Genomic DNA, 20,058 nt, shown 5'->3' on the forward strand with positions numbered 1-20,058 from the left:
TACAAAAATTAGTCGGGTGTGGTGGTGTGTGCCTGTAATCCCAGTTATCCAGGAGGCTGAGGCAGGAGAACAGCTTGAACCCAGGAGGCAGTGAGCTGAGATCGCACCACTGCACTCCAGCCTGGGCAAAAGAGCAAGACTCCATCTCAAAAAAAAAAAAAAAAAATGAACTAGTGACACACAGAAAAACATGGATCAATCTCATAGTTAAAATGCTAAGCAAAAGTACCAAAACGCTGAGAATAATAATTGACATACAAACCATAAGAATCTATTTATAATGTTCAACGATAGGCAAAACTAATCTAAAGTTCAAAAAAAGCAAAACAGTGGTTGTCTTTAGGTGGTGGGGGAAGCATTCTGGGAAGATGGAAAATAGGCTGTATCGTGACAGAGGTGTAGGTGACGGGTAGTGTACAATTGTGCATTTCAATGTATGCAAGTTTTTATCAAGAAAAAAACTATGAACACGAATTAATACTTTTTAATTTCTTTTCTTTGGGTGCTTCTACTTTAGGTTTCATATCTAAGAAACCATTGCCTAATTCAAGGTCACAAAAATTTAATCTTATGTTTTCTCCTAAGAGATTTATAGTTTTAGGTCTTCCATTTAGATCTATGATCCATTTTGGGAGAGTTCTTTTTGCCTATGGCACAAGGGAGAGTAAGTATAACAGAAACATAGATGAAACAAGAATTACACAACATTGGTATTTGCTTAAACTGGATAATGAGGGGTCATTAATATTATTCTGTTTAATTTGTATATGCTTGAAATTTTCTATAATCAAAAAATTAAGTGCAAAATGCCAGGAAAGCAACAAATTCAGGTTAGAAAGGAAGATGAAAAGGACAGGTCCAAAACAGTCCATGGATGACTGCCTAATGTTCTCTAATGATTTGTTTCTGCCAAGATGATCTGCCGGGATTTCTTATCTACAGATTATCAGGGAGGGAATTTACTTGATAAAGAAGAGACACAATCTTCTAATGTGATAAAGGACACAAAATAAATCCTACATAAGCTATGAAGCTTATTTGATGGATGTTTGATGCTATTAATTATTGTTACTTTTTTCTGATGTGATAATGGTGTGTAGTTACATAATTTTTTTAAAGTGTATATATTTTCAGAGACATACACATACATACTGATGGAATTCTATACTCTCTGAGATTTGCTTCAAAAATCATATGGGGAGGCCAGGAGCAGTGGCTCACACCTGTAATCCCAGCACTTTGGGAGGCCGAGGTAGGCAGATCACTTGAGGTCAGAAGTTCGAGACCATACCTGGCCAACATGGCGAAACCTCATCTGTACTAAAAATACAAAATTTAGCTAGGCATAGTGGTTCACGCCTATAATCCCAGCTACTCGGGAGGCTGAGGCAGGAGAATCACTTGAACCCGGGAGGCAGAGGTTGCAGTGAGCCGAGATTGCACCACTGCACTCCACCCTGGGTGACAGAGTGTGACCCTGTCTCAACTGAAAAAAAAAAAATCATATGGGGAAACAAGGGGCTGGGGTTTAAAGATCACCATGCATTGATAACTGTTAAGTCAAGGCGAAAGAAATATGGAGGCTCAACATGTATTTTCTATTCCACCTATGCGTTTGATTATAAATGTTCTACGCTTCAAACCTTTTTCAGTAACAGCTATATTGAAATATAATTCACAACATAAATTCACCATTTAAAAATATAGTTTAGTGGGTTTTAGTATATTTAGAGTTCTACAACCATTACCACTAACTCCAGAAAATCTTCATCACTCCCAAAAGAAACCCCATATCCGTTAGCAACCACTAATTGCATTTCCCTCACCCTCCAACCCCTAGAAATCACTAATCTATTTTGGCTCTACAAATTTGCCTATTCTGGACATTTCACATAAAATTATATAATATATGGCTTTTGTGTTTGGCTTATTTCATTTAGTAAAATGTTTCCAAGGTTCATCCATATTATGGCATATAACAGTATTTCATTCCATTTGACAGCTGAATACCTTAATTCCATTTGTATAGATACTTCATATCTTATTTATCCATGTACGGACACAGGTTGTTTCACTTTTTGGCAGTGAATAATGCTCCTATGAACATCCTTGTACAAAGTTTTGTGGGTATATATCTTCATTTCTCTTGGGTATACACCTAGAAGTGGAATGGCTCGCTAGAACTCATATGGTAACTCTATGTTTAACTTTTCTTTTTTTTCCCCAAGACAGAGTCTCGCTCTGTCACCCAGGCTGGAGTGCAGTGGCGTGATCTCGGCTCACTGCAAGCTCCACCTCCTGGGTTCACGCCATTCTCCTGCCTCAGCCTCCCGAGTAGCTGGGACTACAGGTACATGCGACCATGCCCGACTAATTTTTTTTTTTTTTTTGTATTTTTAGTAGAGATGGGGTTTCACTATGTTTGGCAGGATGGTCTCGATCTCCTGACCTCATGATACACTCGTCTCGGCCTCCCAAAGTGCTGGGATTACAGGCATGAGGCACCGCACCCAGCCTCTATGTTTAACTTCTTATCTTAGGAACTCCCAAACTCTTCCAATGTGGCTCACCATTTTACATTCCCACTGGCAGTGCATGAGGGTTCTAACAGCTCCACATTCTTCCCAATGCTGGTTATTATCTGTCTTTTCCAGTATAGCCATCCTAGTGGGTATGAAGTCGTATCTCACCATGATTTTATTTGTATTTATATGCATTGCTAGTTAATGATGTTGAGCATATTTTCATGTGCTTATTGACCATTTGGGTATGTTCTTTGAAGAAATACTTACTCAAATCCTTTGCCCATTCTTTAATTGGATTATTTGTCCTTCGAGTTGCAGAGCTTTACATTCTCTAGATACAAATCCCTTAACAGGTATAATTTGCAAATATTTTCTCTCATTTTGTGCATGACTTTTAATGTTCTGTGTCCTTTGAAGCATGAAAGTTTTTAATTTTAATGAAATTCAATTTATCAATCTTTTCTTGGGTTCCTTGTACTTTAAATTTCATACCTAAGAAACCATTGCCTAATTCAAGGTCACAAAGATTTAATTCTGTTTTCTCCTAAGAGCTTTATAGTTTTAGGTCTTCCATGCAGGCCTGTGATCTATTTTGAGTTAATTTTTGCCTATGACATAAGATAGGGCTCCAACTTCATACTTTCACGTGTGGATATTCAGTTGTCTTTGCACCATTTGTTCAAAAGACTATTCTTTCACGCATTGAATTGTCTGGGTACCTCTGTTAAAACTGGCTCACCATAAATGCAAGGCTTTGTTTCTGGACTCTTCAATTCTATTTCACTGATCTATATGTCTATCCTTATGCCAGTACTACACCGTCTTCATTACAATCACTTTGTAGTAACTTTTGAAATTGGAAATTGAATCCTCCAACTTCGTTCTTTTTCAAGATTGTTTTGGCTGTTCTGGGTTACTTATATTTCCACATGAATTTTAGGATCAGCTTGACAATTTCTTCAAAGAAACCGGTTGGAATTTTCATAGAGATTGCGTTTAGTTTGTAGATCAATTTGGGGAATATTGCCATCTTAACAATATTCAGCCTTCTGATCCATGAACATGGGATGTATTTCCATTTATTCAGGTCTTTAATGTCTTTCAATGGTGTTTTCAGTGTACTGTCTTCTAAGTACTTTCCTCTTTTTGACGCCACTATAGACAGATTGGTTTTCTTTGTTAGTATACAGAAATACAAATAATTTTTGTACATTGATCTTATAGACTACATCCTAGCTGAACTTACTAGTTATAACTGATTTTTGTGGATTCCTTAGCATTTTCTATATACCTTCATCCCTTGGTATCCATAGGACATTGGTTCCAGGACTCCCCCTGCCCACCCCCTGCACTACCCACTAATACCAAAATCCACGGATGCTCAAGTCTGTATATAAAATGGCACTGTATTTGCAAATAACCTTCATACATCATCTTATATACTTTAAATCATCTCTAGATTATTTCTAATACCTAATGCAATGTAAATGTTATGTGTAAATAGTTGTTATACTATTTATTTGTACTTTGTTATCGTTATTTTTTATTGTTTTTTTCCAAAATATTCTCAATCCATGATTGATTGACTCACAAAAGTGGAACCCATAGATACAAAGGCTGATTGTACAAGACTTATTATCTAAAAATATAGTTTTACTATTTCTTTTCCTATATGGATGCCTTTAATTTCTCTTTCCAGCCTAACTGCTCTGGCTCTATCCTCTGCTACAGTGTTGAACAGAAGTGGTGACAGGCTTCTTGCTCCTTATGTTAGGGGAAAGCTTTTAGTCCTTCACCACTAAATATGATGTTAGCTGAGGGTGTTTTAAAGATGGCCGTTATCAAATTAGGATCAAGTTAGGAAATTTTCTATTTTTAGTTTTTTGAATAGTTTTATCATGAGTGTTAGATTTTGTCAAATGCTTTTTCTGCATCTATTGAGATGATTGTGTTGTTTTAATACTTTACCCTATTATTATAGTATATTGCATTGATTGATTTTTGTATATTAAATCAACTTTGCATTCCTGGGATAACTATGACTTGGTCATGGTGTACAATCCTTTTTATATGGTGCTATATTCAGTTTGCTAGTACTTTCGTCAAAGATTTTTGTATCTGCATTCATAAGGAATACTGGTCTGTAGGGTTTGTTTGCTTTGTTTTTGGTGGGTTTGTTTCATTTTTGTTTTGAGACTAGGTCTCACTATGTCACACAGGCTGAGTGCAGTGGCACCATCACAGCTCACCAAAGCCTCAACTACCCAGGCTCAAGTGGTCCTCCTGCCTCAACCTCCTGAGGAGCTGGGACTATAGGCATGTACCACCACACACAACTAATTTTTAATTTTTTTATAGAGACAAGGTCTCACTATGTTGCCCAGACTGATCTCGAACTCCTGGACGCAAGCAATCCTCCCACTGTGGCCTCCCAAAGTGCTGGGATTACAGGAATGAACCGCCATGTTTGGCCTGGTTTTGTTTTTTTGTTTTTTGAGACAGGATCTTGCTCTGTCACCCAGGCTGGAGTGCAGTGGCGCAAATACAGCTCACTGTAGCCTCAACATTCTGGGCTCAAGCAATCCTCCCATCTCAGCCTCTCAAGTAGTTGGAACCACAGACGCATGCTATCACACTTAGCTAATTTTTTTTGTTTGATTTGGTTTGGTAGAGACAGGGTCTCCCTGTGTTGCCCAGACTAAACCCCTGGGCTCAGGCAATCCTCCTGCCTCGGCCTCCCAAAGTGCTGGGAATATAGGCATAAGCCATTGTGCCCAGCTGGTCTGTAGGGTTTTTTTGTGATACATCACCTGGCTTTGGTAGCAGGATAACAATGGACTAATGATTAGGAATCTCGATGCTTTGAAAAGTGATGTCTCCTCTTCTATTTCTTAAAGGAGTGTGAATGAATGTCAGTAATTCATCTTTGAACACTTGATAGAATTCACCAGTGAAGTCATCTTGGCCAGTGCTTTTCTTTTTGGGAAACTTTCTGAATATCAATTAAATCTCTATTTTTTATAGGTCTGTTCAGATTTTCTGTTTCTTCTTGAGTCGGTTTCAGTAGTTTGTGTCTTTCTTGAAATATATTCTTCTAAGTTAATGTCATCAATTATCTGTAGTATTTCCTCATAATCCTTTTTATTTCTGTAAATTGGTAGTGATGTGCCCTCTTTCACTCTTGAATGAAGTAATCTGAGTCACTGCCCTTTTTTCTTGGTCACTCTAACTAAAGATGTGTCCATTTTGTTAGGCTTTTCAAAGAACCACCTTTTGGTTTCAATTATTTTTCTCAATTGTTCTCTTCTCTATTTTCTCTTATTTCTGCTCTACCTTTTTTAGTTTCTTCCCTTTCGCTGCTTTGAGATTTGCTTACTCTTCTTTTTCTAGTTTGCTGGGGTGAAGATTAGCTACTATTTTGAGATCTCTTTTTTTTTTAGACAGAGTCTCACTCTGTTGTCCAGGCTGAAGTGCAGTGGCGTACTCTTGGCTCACTGCAACCTCTGCCCCCCGGGTTCAAGTGATTCTCCTGCCTCAGCCTCCCGAGTAGCTGGGATTACAGGTGTGTGCCACCATGCCCAGCTAATTTTTGTATTTTTAGTAGAGACGGGGTTTCACCATGTTGGTCTCTCAATCTCCTGACCTCGTGATCCACCCACCTCGGCCTCCCAAAGTGCTGGGATTACAGGGATGAGCCACTGCACCCGGCCTCTTTTTTTTTTAATATTAGTGTTTGCAGGTATAAATTTCTCTCTAAGCAGTGCTTTAGCTGCATCCCATAAGTTTGGCGTGTTCTATTTTTGTTTTCATTCATCTGAAAATATTTCTTCATTTTGCTTGTGACTTCTTTGATCCACTGTTTACTTAGAAGTGTACTGCTAATTTCTACATATTTGTGAATTTTTCAGATTTCCTTGTTATTGATTTCAAATTTTATCCCCTTATGGTCAGAAAATATTTTGTATGATTTCAATACTTTAAAATTTATTGAGGCTTGTTTAATGGCCTAACATCATACTCTATGCTGGAGGATACTTCATGTAAACTCGAGAAGAATGTGAATTCTGCTGCTGCTGTATGAAGTGTTCTATAGATAACTAGTAAGTCTTCTTGGTTTATAGCACTGTTCACATCTTCTATTTCCTTATTAATCATCTGCCTGGTTGTTCCACCCATTATTGGAAGTATTTATATCTCAAACTATGATTGCTGAATTGTCTATTTCTGCCTGCAATGCTGTTTTTGTTTCGTGTATTTTGGAGCTCAGCTAAGTGAATATATATTTATAGTCATTATGTCTTTCTTATGGATTGACCCTTTTATTTTTATACACATACACACACACAGATATATACATATATATGTATATATATATATATTTTTTTTTTTTGGAGACAAAGTCCCACTGTCACCCAGGCTGGAGTGCAGTGGCACGATCTCAGCTCACTGCAACCTCCACCTCTCCCAGGCTCAAGTGATCCTCCCACCTCAGCCTCCTGAGTAGCTGGGACCACAGACATGTGCCACCATGCCCAGCCAACGGTTTTTTTGTATTGTGGGTAGAGACAGGGTTTCATCATGTTGCCCAGCCTGGTCTCGAACTCAAGAGATCAAGCGATCTGCCCACCTCAGCCTCCCAAAGTGCTGGGATTACAGGAGTGAGCCACCATGCCCAGCCCTCTTATTATACTTGCCTGTAGTAATTTTTGTCTTAAAGTCTATTTTATCTGATATTAGCACAGCCACTCCACCTCTCTTTTGGGTACTGTTTGCATGGTTTGTCTTTTACTTTCAACCTATTTATGTCCTTAAATCTAAAGTATGTCTCTTCCTAAATACCATATAGTTGAATCATCCCTGAAATTTTAATAAGGCCAAATAATAAAAAGTTTTAAATAAATAAGGCCAAAATACATAGAAAGACATATCCTCTTCTGAAATTGAAGAAAAAAGTACTGTAAAGACTAAATATGTAAAACATATAACAAGAGGAAATTTGTCCTCCCGCACATCACAAAAGGGATGTGCGATTCATTTTAAATCAATGAAGAATGAATTTTTTTTAAAGGTGTTAGAACAAGTGGTTTTCATTAGGAAGAAAATAAAATTAGATTATCTGCTACAATCAAAACTAAGACCCAGTTGCATTACATGAAACTTAAAATCACTATAAAATGACAGAAAAATATAATGGGGTAGGGAAACTTTGCTAGGCAATAAACAAAAGCCAGCTTTTAAATTTCTATATGATAAAAGACACCATAAACAACGCAAATTTAACTGACACAATATTTAATAATTTTTTTTAAAGAGACAGGGTCTTGCTCTGTCTTCCAAGGTGGAGTACAGTGGCATCACCATAGCTCACTGTAACCTCAAACTCCAGGGCATCACAATCCTCCTGCCTCAGCCTCCTGAGTAGCTGGGACTACAGGCGTGGGCCACATTTGGCTAATTTTTTTTTTTTTGTAAAGACAGGGTCTCACTCTGTTGCCTAGGTTGATTTCAAACTCCTGGCCTCAAGTGATCCTCCCTCCTCAGCCTCCTGAACTGTTGAGATTATAGCATAAGCTACTGCACCCAGCCTAACAAATGAAATTAAAGCCTTTGGCTTAACATATAGAGTAAATGAGTGAATTCTCTTCCAGGACCACCATGTGAAAGTTCACCATTAAGAAAGTCAATTACTAGCAAAAGAAGTAACTATTTTTAAAAAGTCAATTAATCTATCAAAATGTCCAGTTGCAGATTTTTCCGGATTTTTTAAAACATTTTTGAGTCTGGTCGAGGTGGCTCACACCTGCAATCCCAGCATTTTGGGAGGCCGAAGCTGGTGGATCACAAGGTCAGGAGTTCAAGACCAGCCTGGCCAACATAGTGAAACCCCGTCTCTACTAAAAATATAAAAAATTAGCCAGGTGTGGTGGCAGGCGCCTGTAATCCCAGCTACTCGGGAGGCTGAGGCAGGAGAATCACCTGAACCAGGGAGGTGGAGGTTGCAGTGAGTGGAGATTGCACCACTGCACTCCAGCCTGGGCGACAGTGTGAGACTCTGTCTCAAAAAAAAAAAAAAAAAAAAGCAAAAAAAAACCCACATTTTTAAAATGAGGATAAGTCCTACTTTACATGCTTTTTTTTTTTTTTTTTTTTCATTAAAATTAGAGACAAGGTCTCTATGTTGCCCAGGCTGGTCTCAGGCAATCCTTCCACCTCGACCTCACAAAGTGCTGGGATTACAAATGTAAGCCATTGCGCCCCACCTGCAAGAATTTTCTTTTTTTTTTTTTTGAGATGGAGTCTCACTCTGTCCCCCAGGCTGGAGTGCAGTGGCGCAATCTCAGCTCACTGCAACCTCTGCCTCCCAGGTTCAAGCAATTCTCCTGCCTCAGCCTCCCGAGTAGCTGGGATTACAGGTGCCCACCATCACGCCCACCTAATTTTTTTGTATTTTTAGTAGAGATGGTGTTTCACCATGCTGGCCAGGCTGGTTTCGAACTCCTGACCTCAACTGATCTGCCCACCTCAGCCTCCCAAAGTGCTAGGATTACAGGTTTGAGCCACCACACCCAGTCAGGATTCCTGTATTTTGGTTCATAATAAAATTACTTTATAATTCCATTCTACTGCTTCTGAGATTAAAAAAAAAAAAAATTTCCCCTCAGCCCTTACCCACTGTATTAACAGGCAGTTGCTAAAAGTTTATTATAAAGATGGAAGGCAAAGGAAGGAGACAAGATTGGCACCAATCCAGACTTAATAGCAACACATAACTGAGGTGTATTTAGTAGTCACATTTTATTCCAATGTCTTTCGCCCATTAAAACCTTTCACCTGACTGGGCATGGTGACTCATACCTGTAATCCCAGCTACTCAGGAGGCTGCGGCAGGAGAATCACCTGAGTCCAGGAGTTGGAGAACAGCCTGGATAACAAGTAAGACTCTGTCTCTCAAACATAATTCACCCACAAACACCCTTTTTAAAAAAAAAGTTATTCTAAGTTACTGAACAAGAATCGTATCTAGCCGGGCATGGTGGCTTATGCCTGTAATCCCAGCACTTTGGGAGGCTGAGGCGGGCGGATCACCTGAGGTCAGGAGTTCGAGACCAGCCTGGCTAACATGGTGAAACTCCGTTTCTACTAAAAATACAAAAAATTAGCCAGGCGTGGAGGTGCACGCCTATAATCCCAGTTACTCGGGAGGCTGAGGCAGGAGAACTGCTTGAACCCAAGAGCCGGAGGGTGCAGTGAGCCGACATCGTGCCATTGCACTCCAGCTTGGGCAACAAGAGCAGAACTCTATCTCAAAAAAAAAAAGAATCATATCTGAAATAGAATCTAAAAATGAAAAACCTGCAGGATGGTGTATGATAGACATTGTTAAAGGATAAAAATAAATTATCAGATAAAAACTAAAGCATACCAAGGCTAAGGCCTTTTTTTTTTTTTTTTTAAGAGAGAGAGAGAGAGTCTAGCTCTGTTGCCCAGGCTGGAGTGCAGAGGTGTGAACATAACTCACTGCAGCCTTGACCTCCTGCCTCAGCTTCCCATGTAGCTGGAATCACAGATGCACGCCACCATGCCCAACTAATTTTTTTATTTTTGTAGAGACGGTGTCTCACTTTGTTGCCCAGGCTGGTCTCAAACTCCTGGCCTCAAGCGATCCTCTTGTCTCAGCCTTCCAAACTGCTGGGATTACAGGCATGAACCACTGCACCTGGCCACAATATTTTTATACTTGAACACTGCTGACAAAAATCTTTCATAATTCAGAAAGATGTTTATTTATTCAATTTATTTATTCTACTTTTTATTTCAAATAGATATTCACTTCCTAAGTAAAACAGAATACATTTTGGGTTTTTTTGTTTTTTTTGTTTTTTTTGTTTTTGAGACAGTCTCGCTCTGTTGCCCAGGCTGGAGTACAGTGGCACAACCTCAGCTCACTACAGCCTCTGCCTCCCAGGTTCAAGCAGTTCTCATGCCTCAGTCTCCCAAGTAGCTGGGATTACAGGTGCACACTACCACACCCGGCTAATTTTTGTATTTTTAGTAGAGATGGGGTTTTACCATGTTGGCCAGGCTGGTGTCAAACTCCTGACCTTAAGTGATCCGCCGTCCTCCACCTCCCAAAGTGCTGGGATTACAGATGTGAGCCACAGTGTTCAGCCCAAGAGTATGTTTAAGTAAAAGAAAAGCAGTACTTTTACGGAGGTTTTGTAAAATTTTAAAGACCTACTACATGCAACTACATACAATTAAGGGCCCAAACAAATTCCAACTTCAACATATTTTGGCCAAAATGCAAAATTTCCACTCAAAAAAAAGTATACTTAGGCACTTTACATTCCTGTAGATTTTTAGATGAACAAGGTTTTTAGATTTTAGATGAACAAGATTTTGACCTTTAAGCTGATTTTAAACTGGTATTTAAAAAACCAAAAAGGGAACCCAAAATTATACAACGAAATGTGCCCTCCAATCCAAAACAAAAAAAAAATGTTCACTGGGATGTAAAAGTAACCATTGACTATTCAAATTACAAAAGACAATGTTGCAAATGCAACATCCTTCTCCCTATTTCAACCAGTCCCCTTGTATTCTCCTCATTGATTTAACAGGAAAATAGATGTTTAAAGCTTGAACAGTGGTGAAATTTTCATCAGCAAGATGTGCCTTTTGCATTAATTCTACAGCACCAAGACAGTTATGTGCACACACTAGACTTAAATGCCACAAGATTCATTTATGAATAAAGACACGTATTAATTTAAAGACAGCCCAATAGATCAGGACACAAGTGCAGCTGCCTTACTACCAAAAAACAAGCCCAGGCCTCACAAGCTTTTTATTTTGATACAAGTTTCACTATCACTCAACATACACAATACTCTCAAAAGTAAAGCTCTTCTTATACATACAACATGTGAATGAAGACTTCTCAAATATTCTTTTCAAATGCTATACAGATCCTCATAGTAATAGGATTATGGAAAAACTATAAAAAATTAAGAATATGAATAATGAAACTTCTATTTCTCGGCAGTCTTCCCTCTATTGCAAATCTAATTTGTCCCCAAAATGTATATAAGATGTTGAAGTTATTGAAATTTTGGCATCTCTTCCCAATTTGCAGCTAACAATAATTGGAATATGGGAAACAACTCCTGAAAACCTGTAATATTTTAATTAACATAGAATTTATGTTACAATCAAGTTTAACAAAAGTTCACTATAATATTCCCTACAACTTAATCAGTATGTTGCCCTCTTATTTTATATTCAATGATTTCTTTATTTCAAAAACAAAGACATCACATGGTTTGTGACCAACCCCAGTAGCTAGAAGTATTTCCAAATCACTTCTCTCAACTTAAAAAAAAAAAAAAATTAATGTGAAACAAAGGGAGTTCAAAGCTACATCTTCTAAGGGAAAAATGCTGTGATTATTTCACTTAAAAATAAATAGCTGAGTCATAGTAACAAAATTTCACAAAAAGCTGAACTTTCTAAGGTGCACTTTAAAAATTACTCCACTTGCCATGCTGTCCTGGAAACCAACCTGCACGCCTGTCCTAGGAAATCTATTTGTGTCTCTTGAGTCCTTCAATAATGCAGAACATAAAAGTTTCAAAAATGAATCGCAACAACAGCTATCAAAGGAAGTGGGTTTTTTTAAATAATAGCCCTAGGCTCCAATAAAATTAATACCCAAAAATCATCAAAGGGCAAACGCAAAAAGCGTTCTTAAATTTTCTCTAAGTAGCAGTTCCTTAGTTTTACAATTCTTTTCTTTTTCGCTGAAAGGAGAATAAGAAATCCAATTAACAGTGTTAAGGATGAGAACAGTTAGTTCCCAGGCAGAGGATGCAATTTACAATCCAGGCTTGGCCCAGACATTAGCGGGCACACACACGCCAGTGCTCAGAGGAAGCTTCAAGAAATGTCACTATCTAACGGAAGTGTTAAGGCCTTATATTTGTAAGGACTATGACCAGCCCTGTAAATAAATACACTGTAAAACGCAACCTAGAAAAACTCCATTGTCCAAAACAACTCAAGACTTTCCTACTATCCTCAAAACAGAAAGAACCTGTGTCCTGGACGGCCTCAGGACGACCGCCTCTCACATAGAAAGAAGGGCAACCCATGTGAATCGGAGTGCCCCCATGTCAACTCTGTGACAGATCCACTGGGAGCATCCGACTGTGATCCGGGCCCTCCTGGGCAGAGGCTGCTGGAAGAGGAACACACAGGCAATCTTCACGGCCCTCCTACTTCCGTTCTCAAAACAGAAATGCACTTTTCTGCTAGTCCTCCGCCCTCAGCCCGGTACCTCTCGACAGCTGTGCCCCCTTCAACGAGCTTAAGTGGAAAGAAAAGCAGGTAGTCACCAACTAGGGTCCACGGAATGCGGTTGATCACAGCGCTTCCCCCCGCGATTCCCGCACGCATCCACCGCGGGCGCCCTCCGGAGAGTCGCTCTGGCCGGGGGCACCGCGAAGCAGAAGTCGGCGTCCCAGTTCGCCCCCTACTCTCTCCTCCCCGGGGAAGGGGGGCAGAAAAGCGCAAAGAGGAACTAAATGAACTGCAAGAGGATGCCCTGAAAGCTCCCTCAAAGAGGGGGTGGGGAGGGGGTGGAAACCAAGAAGGGGCGGAAGGAAGGGGGAAGGAAGAGCAGCCAGAGGAGGAAGGGGGCGAGAGCGAGCGCCCGCGAAGGGGACGGGACTTCGGGAGCGCGGCTGCACCCCATTTCCCCCAGCGGGAGAGGGTGCGCCGGCCTTCGGGGCGCTCCGCCCCGGCAGAGGGCAAGGAAAGAAATGAGAGGCGACGTCCCCGTCCCCGCCACTTCGTCGCCCCTCGGGAGGGCTCGGTGGGGACTGCAGTGCCCTCGCAGGGTGGGAAACGGCGGCAACAGCCGCTCGCCCCGTCGGAAGGAGCGGACGGCGGGGCCTCCTCCGGGTGCGCGGGCCCGGCTTTCACGCCCCCAGCGCCGGGAAGGCAGCTCCGCGGTGACGCCGGGCGGCCGTGCCGGTTACCTGAAGCGGGGCGAGTCCTTCAGACACTCCTCGAAATCCACAGTCATCTTCATCCTGCCTCCGCCTCGCAGGCGGCGCTGGCAAAGCCGAGGGGGCCGCGGGAGCGGCCGCGCTGGGACGCAGACGGCTACGGCGGGCGCACGGCCGCGACTAGCGTTGCGCGGAGCTGCGAAGGGCGCCTCGCCCGCTGGTCATAGCAGCCGCGAAGACGGCGACGACTAGTCAGGCCCCAGTCCCGCCCCTCTTCCTCCCGCCCCAAGTAGAGCGCTGGCCGCAGGGAAACGGCCGGGGAGTGACAGCAGCGGCCAGCCAGCCACGAACCTGGCGGCCAAGGGGCGGGGCATCCGGCAGCACCGCCTGCGGGCGCCCGGGCAACGGGTCTGAGCGACGGCAACCCGAGCCAATGAGCAGCGCGACCGTGGGCACCTCCTTGCCACAACCGCCCCCGAGGGCCAACCGGGATGCGCGGGCGTCGCTAGGCGGGACGCACCGGTTGCTGGGAGGCCGGCAGCTGAGGTTCCTTGGGAAGGAAGTCACGTGGCTGCGGCCGCGCTTCCCTCCGAGCCCCCGCCTCTTCTCCTGCTCCCCGAGCCCCGCCCTGCTGAGCTGCCAGCCCAGAGGAGCAGTCTCCTGCAGGTCTGAGGAAGGAAATTTGCTTTTCAAAGCAGATTGGCAGAAATCTGAAGAGGTTAGAGGCAGAAATTATAAAAGGAAGAGATAGGCTAAGCCACCTATTCCTTTCAGTTTAGAGAAACTGAGGCCAGAAGAGGAGCGAGGATAACTTTAGTGATAAAATCCATCTTTCATGTATTTGTTCCATAGCTTCATAATCTGGAAATTGCTCCCATGTACATCTTCTCATATAGCCAGAGACCACTTCCTGAAGGAGCTGCCGTTTGGGTTGGACATAGAAAGATTTAGGCAGGTATGGGAGGTAGGGTGCTTCGTGTGGAGGAACTCCTCTCAAAACTGCCGAAAGCATTCCCCCTCACTGACACTTTGCTCCTGGTGGTTTTCACTGTTCTGCCATGGTGGGGTTCTGAAGACCAGGCTCATCGTACTCACCTTGCAACACCTGCCCCTCTAATCCACACTTTTTCTAGAAGCACTTTAAGATACTTATCATCTGATCCTCACGGCAGGTATTTACCATACTCCTTCATTTTAAGATGCCATTGATTGTAAAAAGTACAAAGATGTCTTATATGTAATGAGTAATTTTTAAGCCAACCTAAAAAACACGGGCGTATCTATAAAAATGAATATACAGGGTGTTCTAACAGCATAGTGGCTCTGAGTGAGAATCTGGAGGCAAACTTCCTGGATTTAGGTCCCAGCTTTCTCACTTTAAAATGAACATAACACACAGATCTGATGAAGTTGTCCGGTTAACACAGTGCCACATATCGATCATTCAGTAAATGTTGGCTATTTTAATTGTACCATTTGCCTCTTCAGTACTATAATCAAAGGGCTTAAGTCTAAGTTCTCTCACTTTCACTGTCTGAAGTTTTTGTTTGTCTCAAAAACAATCAAACAATTTCGTTCCGTTCCCCAGGCTGGTCTCAAACTCATGGCCTCAAGTGATCCTTCTGTCTCAGCCTCCCAAAATGCTGAGATTACAGGTGTGAGCCACACACCCAGCCTTCTAAAGTCTTAATATAACTTTCTGACCGTCTGGCTAAGTATAGCGTGATGACATACTGTTTTTCGTAACCCATCAAGAGATATCTTGATCTCTTTAGCATCTTTAGAAATTAACAGTATAGACAGGGCATGGTGGCTCACACCTGTAATCCCAGCACTTTGGGAGGCCGAGGTGAGCAGATTCCTTGCTCCAGGAGTTCCAGACCAGCCTGGGCAACATGGTGAAATCCTGTCTCTACAACTCTACAAAAATATACAAAAAATTAGCCAGGCACATGCCTATAGTCCCAGTTACTCATGAGGCTGAGGTGGAAGGGTCACTTAAGCCTAGGAAGTCAAGACTGCAGTGAGCCATGATTGTGCCACTGCACTCCAGCCTGGGTAGACAGAGCAAAACACTGTATCAAAAGAAAAAAAAAGGAAAAAGGAAAATTAACAGTATAATTCTGAGGCATTTCAGAGAATATAGAAGCATTATATTCATTTATTCTTTGCTTATAAACTTGATTTCTTTTTTAATTGTGTATTCCTGGAAACCACACAGCTTTTCTTGATAGCTAAAAACAGACTATTGACTGTTAAATGTTCAGGGTCCTCAAGCACATTAGTGGTCAGGCCAACCTTCCCTAACATTGTAACTTCAATGTCAAATTTACCAAGACAGTTGGCAATCTCTACTATATTTGGTTGCGTTCCTGATGTGTGACAGCTAATCTGCATATACAATAACTTATTATTTTAATACTTAATCACAGTGTAGCCTTTTAGAAGATACCTAAAGTGACACTTTGGGGTTCAAATTAATATTCAACTGCATGGCACCACAAAGGCAAATAACTAAGCTAATTACCAAGTGAACATCTTTCTGTGGATGGCTAAATTTGCATATACCCAGTTAGTGATAACACTGTCACAATTTTTCTTCCTTGCCCTGTGATAAAGCAAGCATTTGGGGGTGTCAATTCTAAGATAGGTCCTAAATAAAGAAACATTAAAGTGGGATGGGGTGGGAGCAGTGGGTCTTAGAATAAAAGAAATACAATATTATTATCCTCATCTTTTTTTTTTTTTTTGAGAAGAAGTTTTGCTCTACCACCCAGGCTGGAGTGCAGTGGCACAATCTTGGCTCACTGCAACCTCTGCCTCCCAGGTTCAAGTGATTCTCCTGTCTCAGCCTCCCGAGTAGTTGGGATTACAAGCATGCACCACCACACCTGGCTAATTTTTGTATTTTTATATAATAATGGAAACCAAGGTCCCAACATATGAAAATAAATTACCAGGTGACTCAGGCCAAACACAGGCTGCCTGATGCCAGATCCGAACTACTAACTGTCCTCCCTCCCCTTAAGAATTCTGCCTTTGCAGTTGTAACTCTGTCTGCCCGTGTAGCAATCTCCCTTTCATCTTCTCTTTAAAACACCACTCTTATGCCACCCCCTCAGGAAGCTTTCTTGGCCGAAATACAAACCTCTCTATTCAACACACAGTAAAAGTTCCTTACTAGGCCCAGTCTGCACTCTAAAAGAATATAAAGTACCAAACTTTAAATGTCTTCCAAATTTCTTCTCCCCAAACTTCTCAGTCCCTCTCTACAAACCCTCTGGAACCCTGGACACCCATAGTTCTTCATAGAAAGCTGCTGATTTCCTCTGAGAACATTGTTGACCATACATCCTCTTGAGCAGAGGTTGTTCAATCTCTCCTCCCTGGTACTCCTTGGTCAGGATACATAGTCAGCAAAAGGCTTACACTGTCTTACTTTCCTTGTTGCTGTTATCCAGCAATTTCTAGTAACTCCCTGCCTTAGCCTGGCTAATTGCGTTGCAAATTATCTCAAGAAAAGGAAATTACAATGAGGGTGACTGTGGGCACTACTGGAACTGACAAGGGCAGAAACTCAGGCAACTCTTAGGACTGGTTTTCTCTCTTGTCATCTGCATCCTCTCTCTTTCCTACTTGCCCAACCCCATCAACTTTCCTTTCTGCTTTCCTCTAGGTTCTGTTCCCCTGTGAACCTGGTTTGCATACAATCTATCATTGCTACTGATTCCTCTAGAGGCTCCCAGTGGGTAATATAAAACAATGAAACTTTCCAGGTGTGAGCAGCATGCGGTGGTGGAGGCTATGACGAACAGAAAGCATGTGCCCTGTGTCCTTCTCAGCTCCAGTCAGTTCCTGCCATACCAGACCTCAGATTTAATGAGAGACGCCAAACAGCCAGATTTTCATGTGAAATCTCCCTGTTTTCAAATATTGACAAGCCTTTCAAAATATTACAGAACATTGCACAGGTTATAAAAATAAGTTTCAGGGCCACTCTGCAACCTCTGCTAGATATTTCTTGACAATTCTTTTTTTTTTTTTCTCCTTTTTTCTGAGATGGAGTTTCGCTCTTGTTGCCCAGGCTGGAGTGCAATGGCACAATCTCAGCTCACTGCAACCTCCGCCTCCCGGGTTCAAGAGATTCTCCTGTCTCCGCCTCCTGAGTAGCTGGGATTACAAGCTCATGCCACTATGCCCGGTTAATTTTTGTATTTTTAGTAGAGACAGGGTTTAGCCATGTTGGCCAAGCTGGTCTCAAACTCCTGACCTCAAGAGATCCGCCCACCTCGGCCTCCCAAAGTGCTGGAATTACAGGCATGAGCCACTGCGCCTGGCTGACAATTCTTTATACAGCCTTTCAACTTCGGCTCCTGGTGTTAATTGCTTAAATCTGTTTCCCAACTCACAGATCCCAGGAGACAATTACATTAGCCCAGCTCATCTTTTCATATCAGTCCACACAGGTAGTGGGTCCCTGGCAAGCCAAGAGAGGGATGGAATCACTCAACCTAATCATTTCTGCAGGGATGGGGGCTGCATGATGGCTGACTAGTAGTCAAGGCAATTTCCCTGTAAGAAAATGTTGATAGCTCGGCCCCATAAAACACAGCTAGTAAACACTCACGTTCATCCAGGACTTCGGCTCCTGACTCACAGTCCTTCATCCCAACTTCCACCATCAACTAAGGTGACATCAACATTCACTCATTTTTCTTTCATTCAATAATATTCATTGAGCATTTATTCTGGCCAGACCTTATAATAGGCTCTGAGAGGCTGGGCACGGTGGCTCACGCCTGTAATCCTAGCATTTTGGGAGGCCAAGGCGGGCAGATCACTTGTGGTCAGGAGTTCAAAACCAGTCTGGCCAACATGGTGAAACCCCATCTCTACTAAAACTACAAAAATTAGCCAGGTGTGGTGGCACTGTGCCTGTAATCCCAGCTACTTGGGAGGGCTGAGGCAGGAGAATTGCTTGAACCAGGGAGGCGGAGGTTGCAGTGAGCTGAGATCATGCTATTGCACTCCAGCCTGGATGACAAGAGGGAAACTCCATCTCAAAAAAAAAAAAAAAAAAAGGCCAGATGCGGTTGCTCACGCCTGTAATCTCAGCACTTTGGGAGGCCAAGGCGGGTGGATCACCTGAGGCCAGGAGTTTAAGACCAGCCTGACCAACATGGTGAAACCCTGTCTCTACTAAAAATACAAAATTAGCCAGGTGTGGTGGCGCATGTCTTTAATCCCAGGTACTTGGGAGGCTGAGGCAGGAGAATCGCTTGAACCTGGGAGGTGGGGGTTGCAGTGAGCCGAGATCGCACCATTGCACTCCAGCATGGGCAACAGAGTGAGACGCTGTCTCTAAATAAATAAATAAATAAATAGACTGTGAGACTTATAGGTGAGATAAATAATCTTTTCCCCCTACAACTCTCAGACTATGGTAAGTTCTGTGCCAGCAGTCTTTGAGTATTTACAGTGGCCTACTGTAATCTGATAGTCATTTCTCCTAAGGAAGGAAATTAGTGTTCTCATACCTCCATAGATATGAAGAATCTTAAAAAAGTAAGATCTAAGAAAAGGTGAGGAATGTCTTTCAAAGGGTCAAAGGACTGTTAGTCACAAGGAACTATTTTGACTGAAGCACAGAAGCAAGAGAAACACATGGTCTTCAAGCATGGTAAATCGAGAATATGGCTTTAGAAAAGAAGAAATGAATTTCTGATACATACACTATCTGTATCAGAAAGGATCGTACACCATCAATATAGACATTACAAAGAACCTTGTATGCCATGCTAAGGACTGTGTATATTAAAGCGAAGGAAAGCCACTGGAAGAATTTAAGCCTGGGAGTGACATAATCTTATTTGCATCTTAATGGAGAGTGGGACATTTTCAACTGATGCAATTGCAAGCAAGAGATGTTTAAGAAATAAAATTGAGGCCTGGGCGCGGTTACTCACGCCTGTAATCACAGCACTTTGGGAGGCCGAGGCGGGTGGATCACAAGGTCAGGAGATGGAGACCATCCTGGCTAACACGGTGAAACCCCTTCTCTACTAAAAATACAAAAAATTAGCCAGGCGTGGTGGCGGGCGCCTGTAGTCCCAGCTACTCGGGAGGCTGAGGCAGGAGAATGGCGTGAACCCGGGAGGCAGAGCTTGCAGTGAGCCGAGATGGCAGCACTGCACTCCAGCCTGGGCGACAGAGCAAGACTCCATCTCAAAAAATAAATAAATAAATTAATTAATTAATTAATTTAAAAAATTGAAAGAATCTGATGGCCAACCAAATGTGGGGAGAAGGAAAAAATAAAGACAACTCCTCGGATGACTCCAGGTTGCAGATCTGGGTGACTGGGTAATAGGTAGTGCTATTCATAGAAAGGGGAGAAAGTTTATCTCAAAATATGTTGCTTCAGAAAGTCCTTAAATGTTCTCATCTTATACCATTTTCTCACCCAGAACATCCCATGCACAAGCTCAGCATAGATGTCTCTAGTTGTCTCATTCCCATATATT

At 42.2% G+C, this 20,058-nt stretch overlaps 1 protein-coding gene across 13 annotated transcripts in view, besides 7 other annotated features; it reads right to left on the reverse strand.

Annotated features, from left to right (window-relative positions):
- Positions 1-13,790, reverse strand: part of ACAP2 (ArfGAP with coiled-coil, ankyrin repeat and PH domains 2) — a 168,276-nt gene extending 154,486 nt beyond the window's left edge. For 11 of the 13 annotated variants that reach the window (NM_012287.6, XM_011512603.3, XM_006713557.4 and 8 more), the window contains exon 1: positions 13,565-13,790. In NM_012287.6, coding sequence (NP_036419.3) covers positions 13,565-13,617 — 53 coding nt within the window. In that variant the 5' untranslated portion in view covers positions 13,618-13,790. Of the gene's footprint in view, positions 1-12,919; positions 13,047-13,564 lie in introns of those variants that run through there. The other 2 variants (XM_047447837.1, XM_047447836.1) reach the window with 2 other exon arrangements.
- Positions 4,553-5,053: an enhancer, noted in NCBI's record as "H3K27ac hESC enhancer chr3:195154512-195155012 (GRCh37/hg19 assembly coordinates)". NCBI's record gives its function as "activates a minimal SCP1, AML or CMV promoter by ChIP-STARR-seq in primed H9 embryonic stem cells {active_cell/tissue: H9 hESC(primed)}" and the evidence as "EXISTENCE:reporter gene assay evidence [ECO:0000049][PMID:30033119]".
- Positions 12,705-12,794: an enhancer, noted in NCBI's record as "active region_21055". NCBI's record gives its function as "activates an Ori minimal core promoter by ATAC-STARR-seq in GM12878 lymphoblastoid cells {active_cell/tissue: GM12878}" and the evidence as "EXISTENCE:reporter gene assay evidence [ECO:0000049][PMID:35858748]".
- Positions 13,245-13,294: a silencer, noted in NCBI's record as "silent region_15036". NCBI's record gives its function as "represses an Ori minimal core promoter by ATAC-STARR-seq in GM12878 lymphoblastoid cells {active_cell/tissue: GM12878}" and the evidence as "EXISTENCE:reporter gene assay evidence [ECO:0000049][PMID:35858748]".
- Positions 13,315-13,534: a silencer, noted in NCBI's record as "silent region_15037". NCBI's record gives its function as "represses an Ori minimal core promoter by ATAC-STARR-seq in GM12878 lymphoblastoid cells {active_cell/tissue: GM12878}" and the evidence as "EXISTENCE:reporter gene assay evidence [ECO:0000049][PMID:35858748]".
- Positions 13,315-14,154: a biological region, named in NCBI's record as "H3K27ac hESC enhancer GRCh37_chr3:195163293-195163792".
- Positions 13,334-13,833: an enhancer, noted in NCBI's record as "H3K27ac hESC enhancer chr3:195163293-195163792 (GRCh37/hg19 assembly coordinates)". NCBI's record gives its function as "activates a minimal SCP1, AML or CMV promoter by ChIP-STARR-seq in naive H9 embryonic stem cells {active_cell/tissue: H9 hESC(naive)}" and the evidence as "EXISTENCE:reporter gene assay evidence [ECO:0000049][PMID:30033119]".
- Positions 13,655-14,154: a silencer, noted in NCBI's record as "silent region_15038". NCBI's record gives its function as "represses an Ori minimal core promoter by ATAC-STARR-seq in GM12878 lymphoblastoid cells {active_cell/tissue: GM12878}" and the evidence as "EXISTENCE:reporter gene assay evidence [ECO:0000049][PMID:35858748]".

The sequence above is a fragment of the Homo sapiens genome, chromosome 3 (assembly GCF_000001405.40).
Source record: "Homo sapiens chromosome 3, GRCh38.p14 Primary Assembly".
Taxonomy (NCBI): Eukaryota; Metazoa; Chordata; class Mammalia; order Primates; family Hominidae; genus Homo; species Homo sapiens.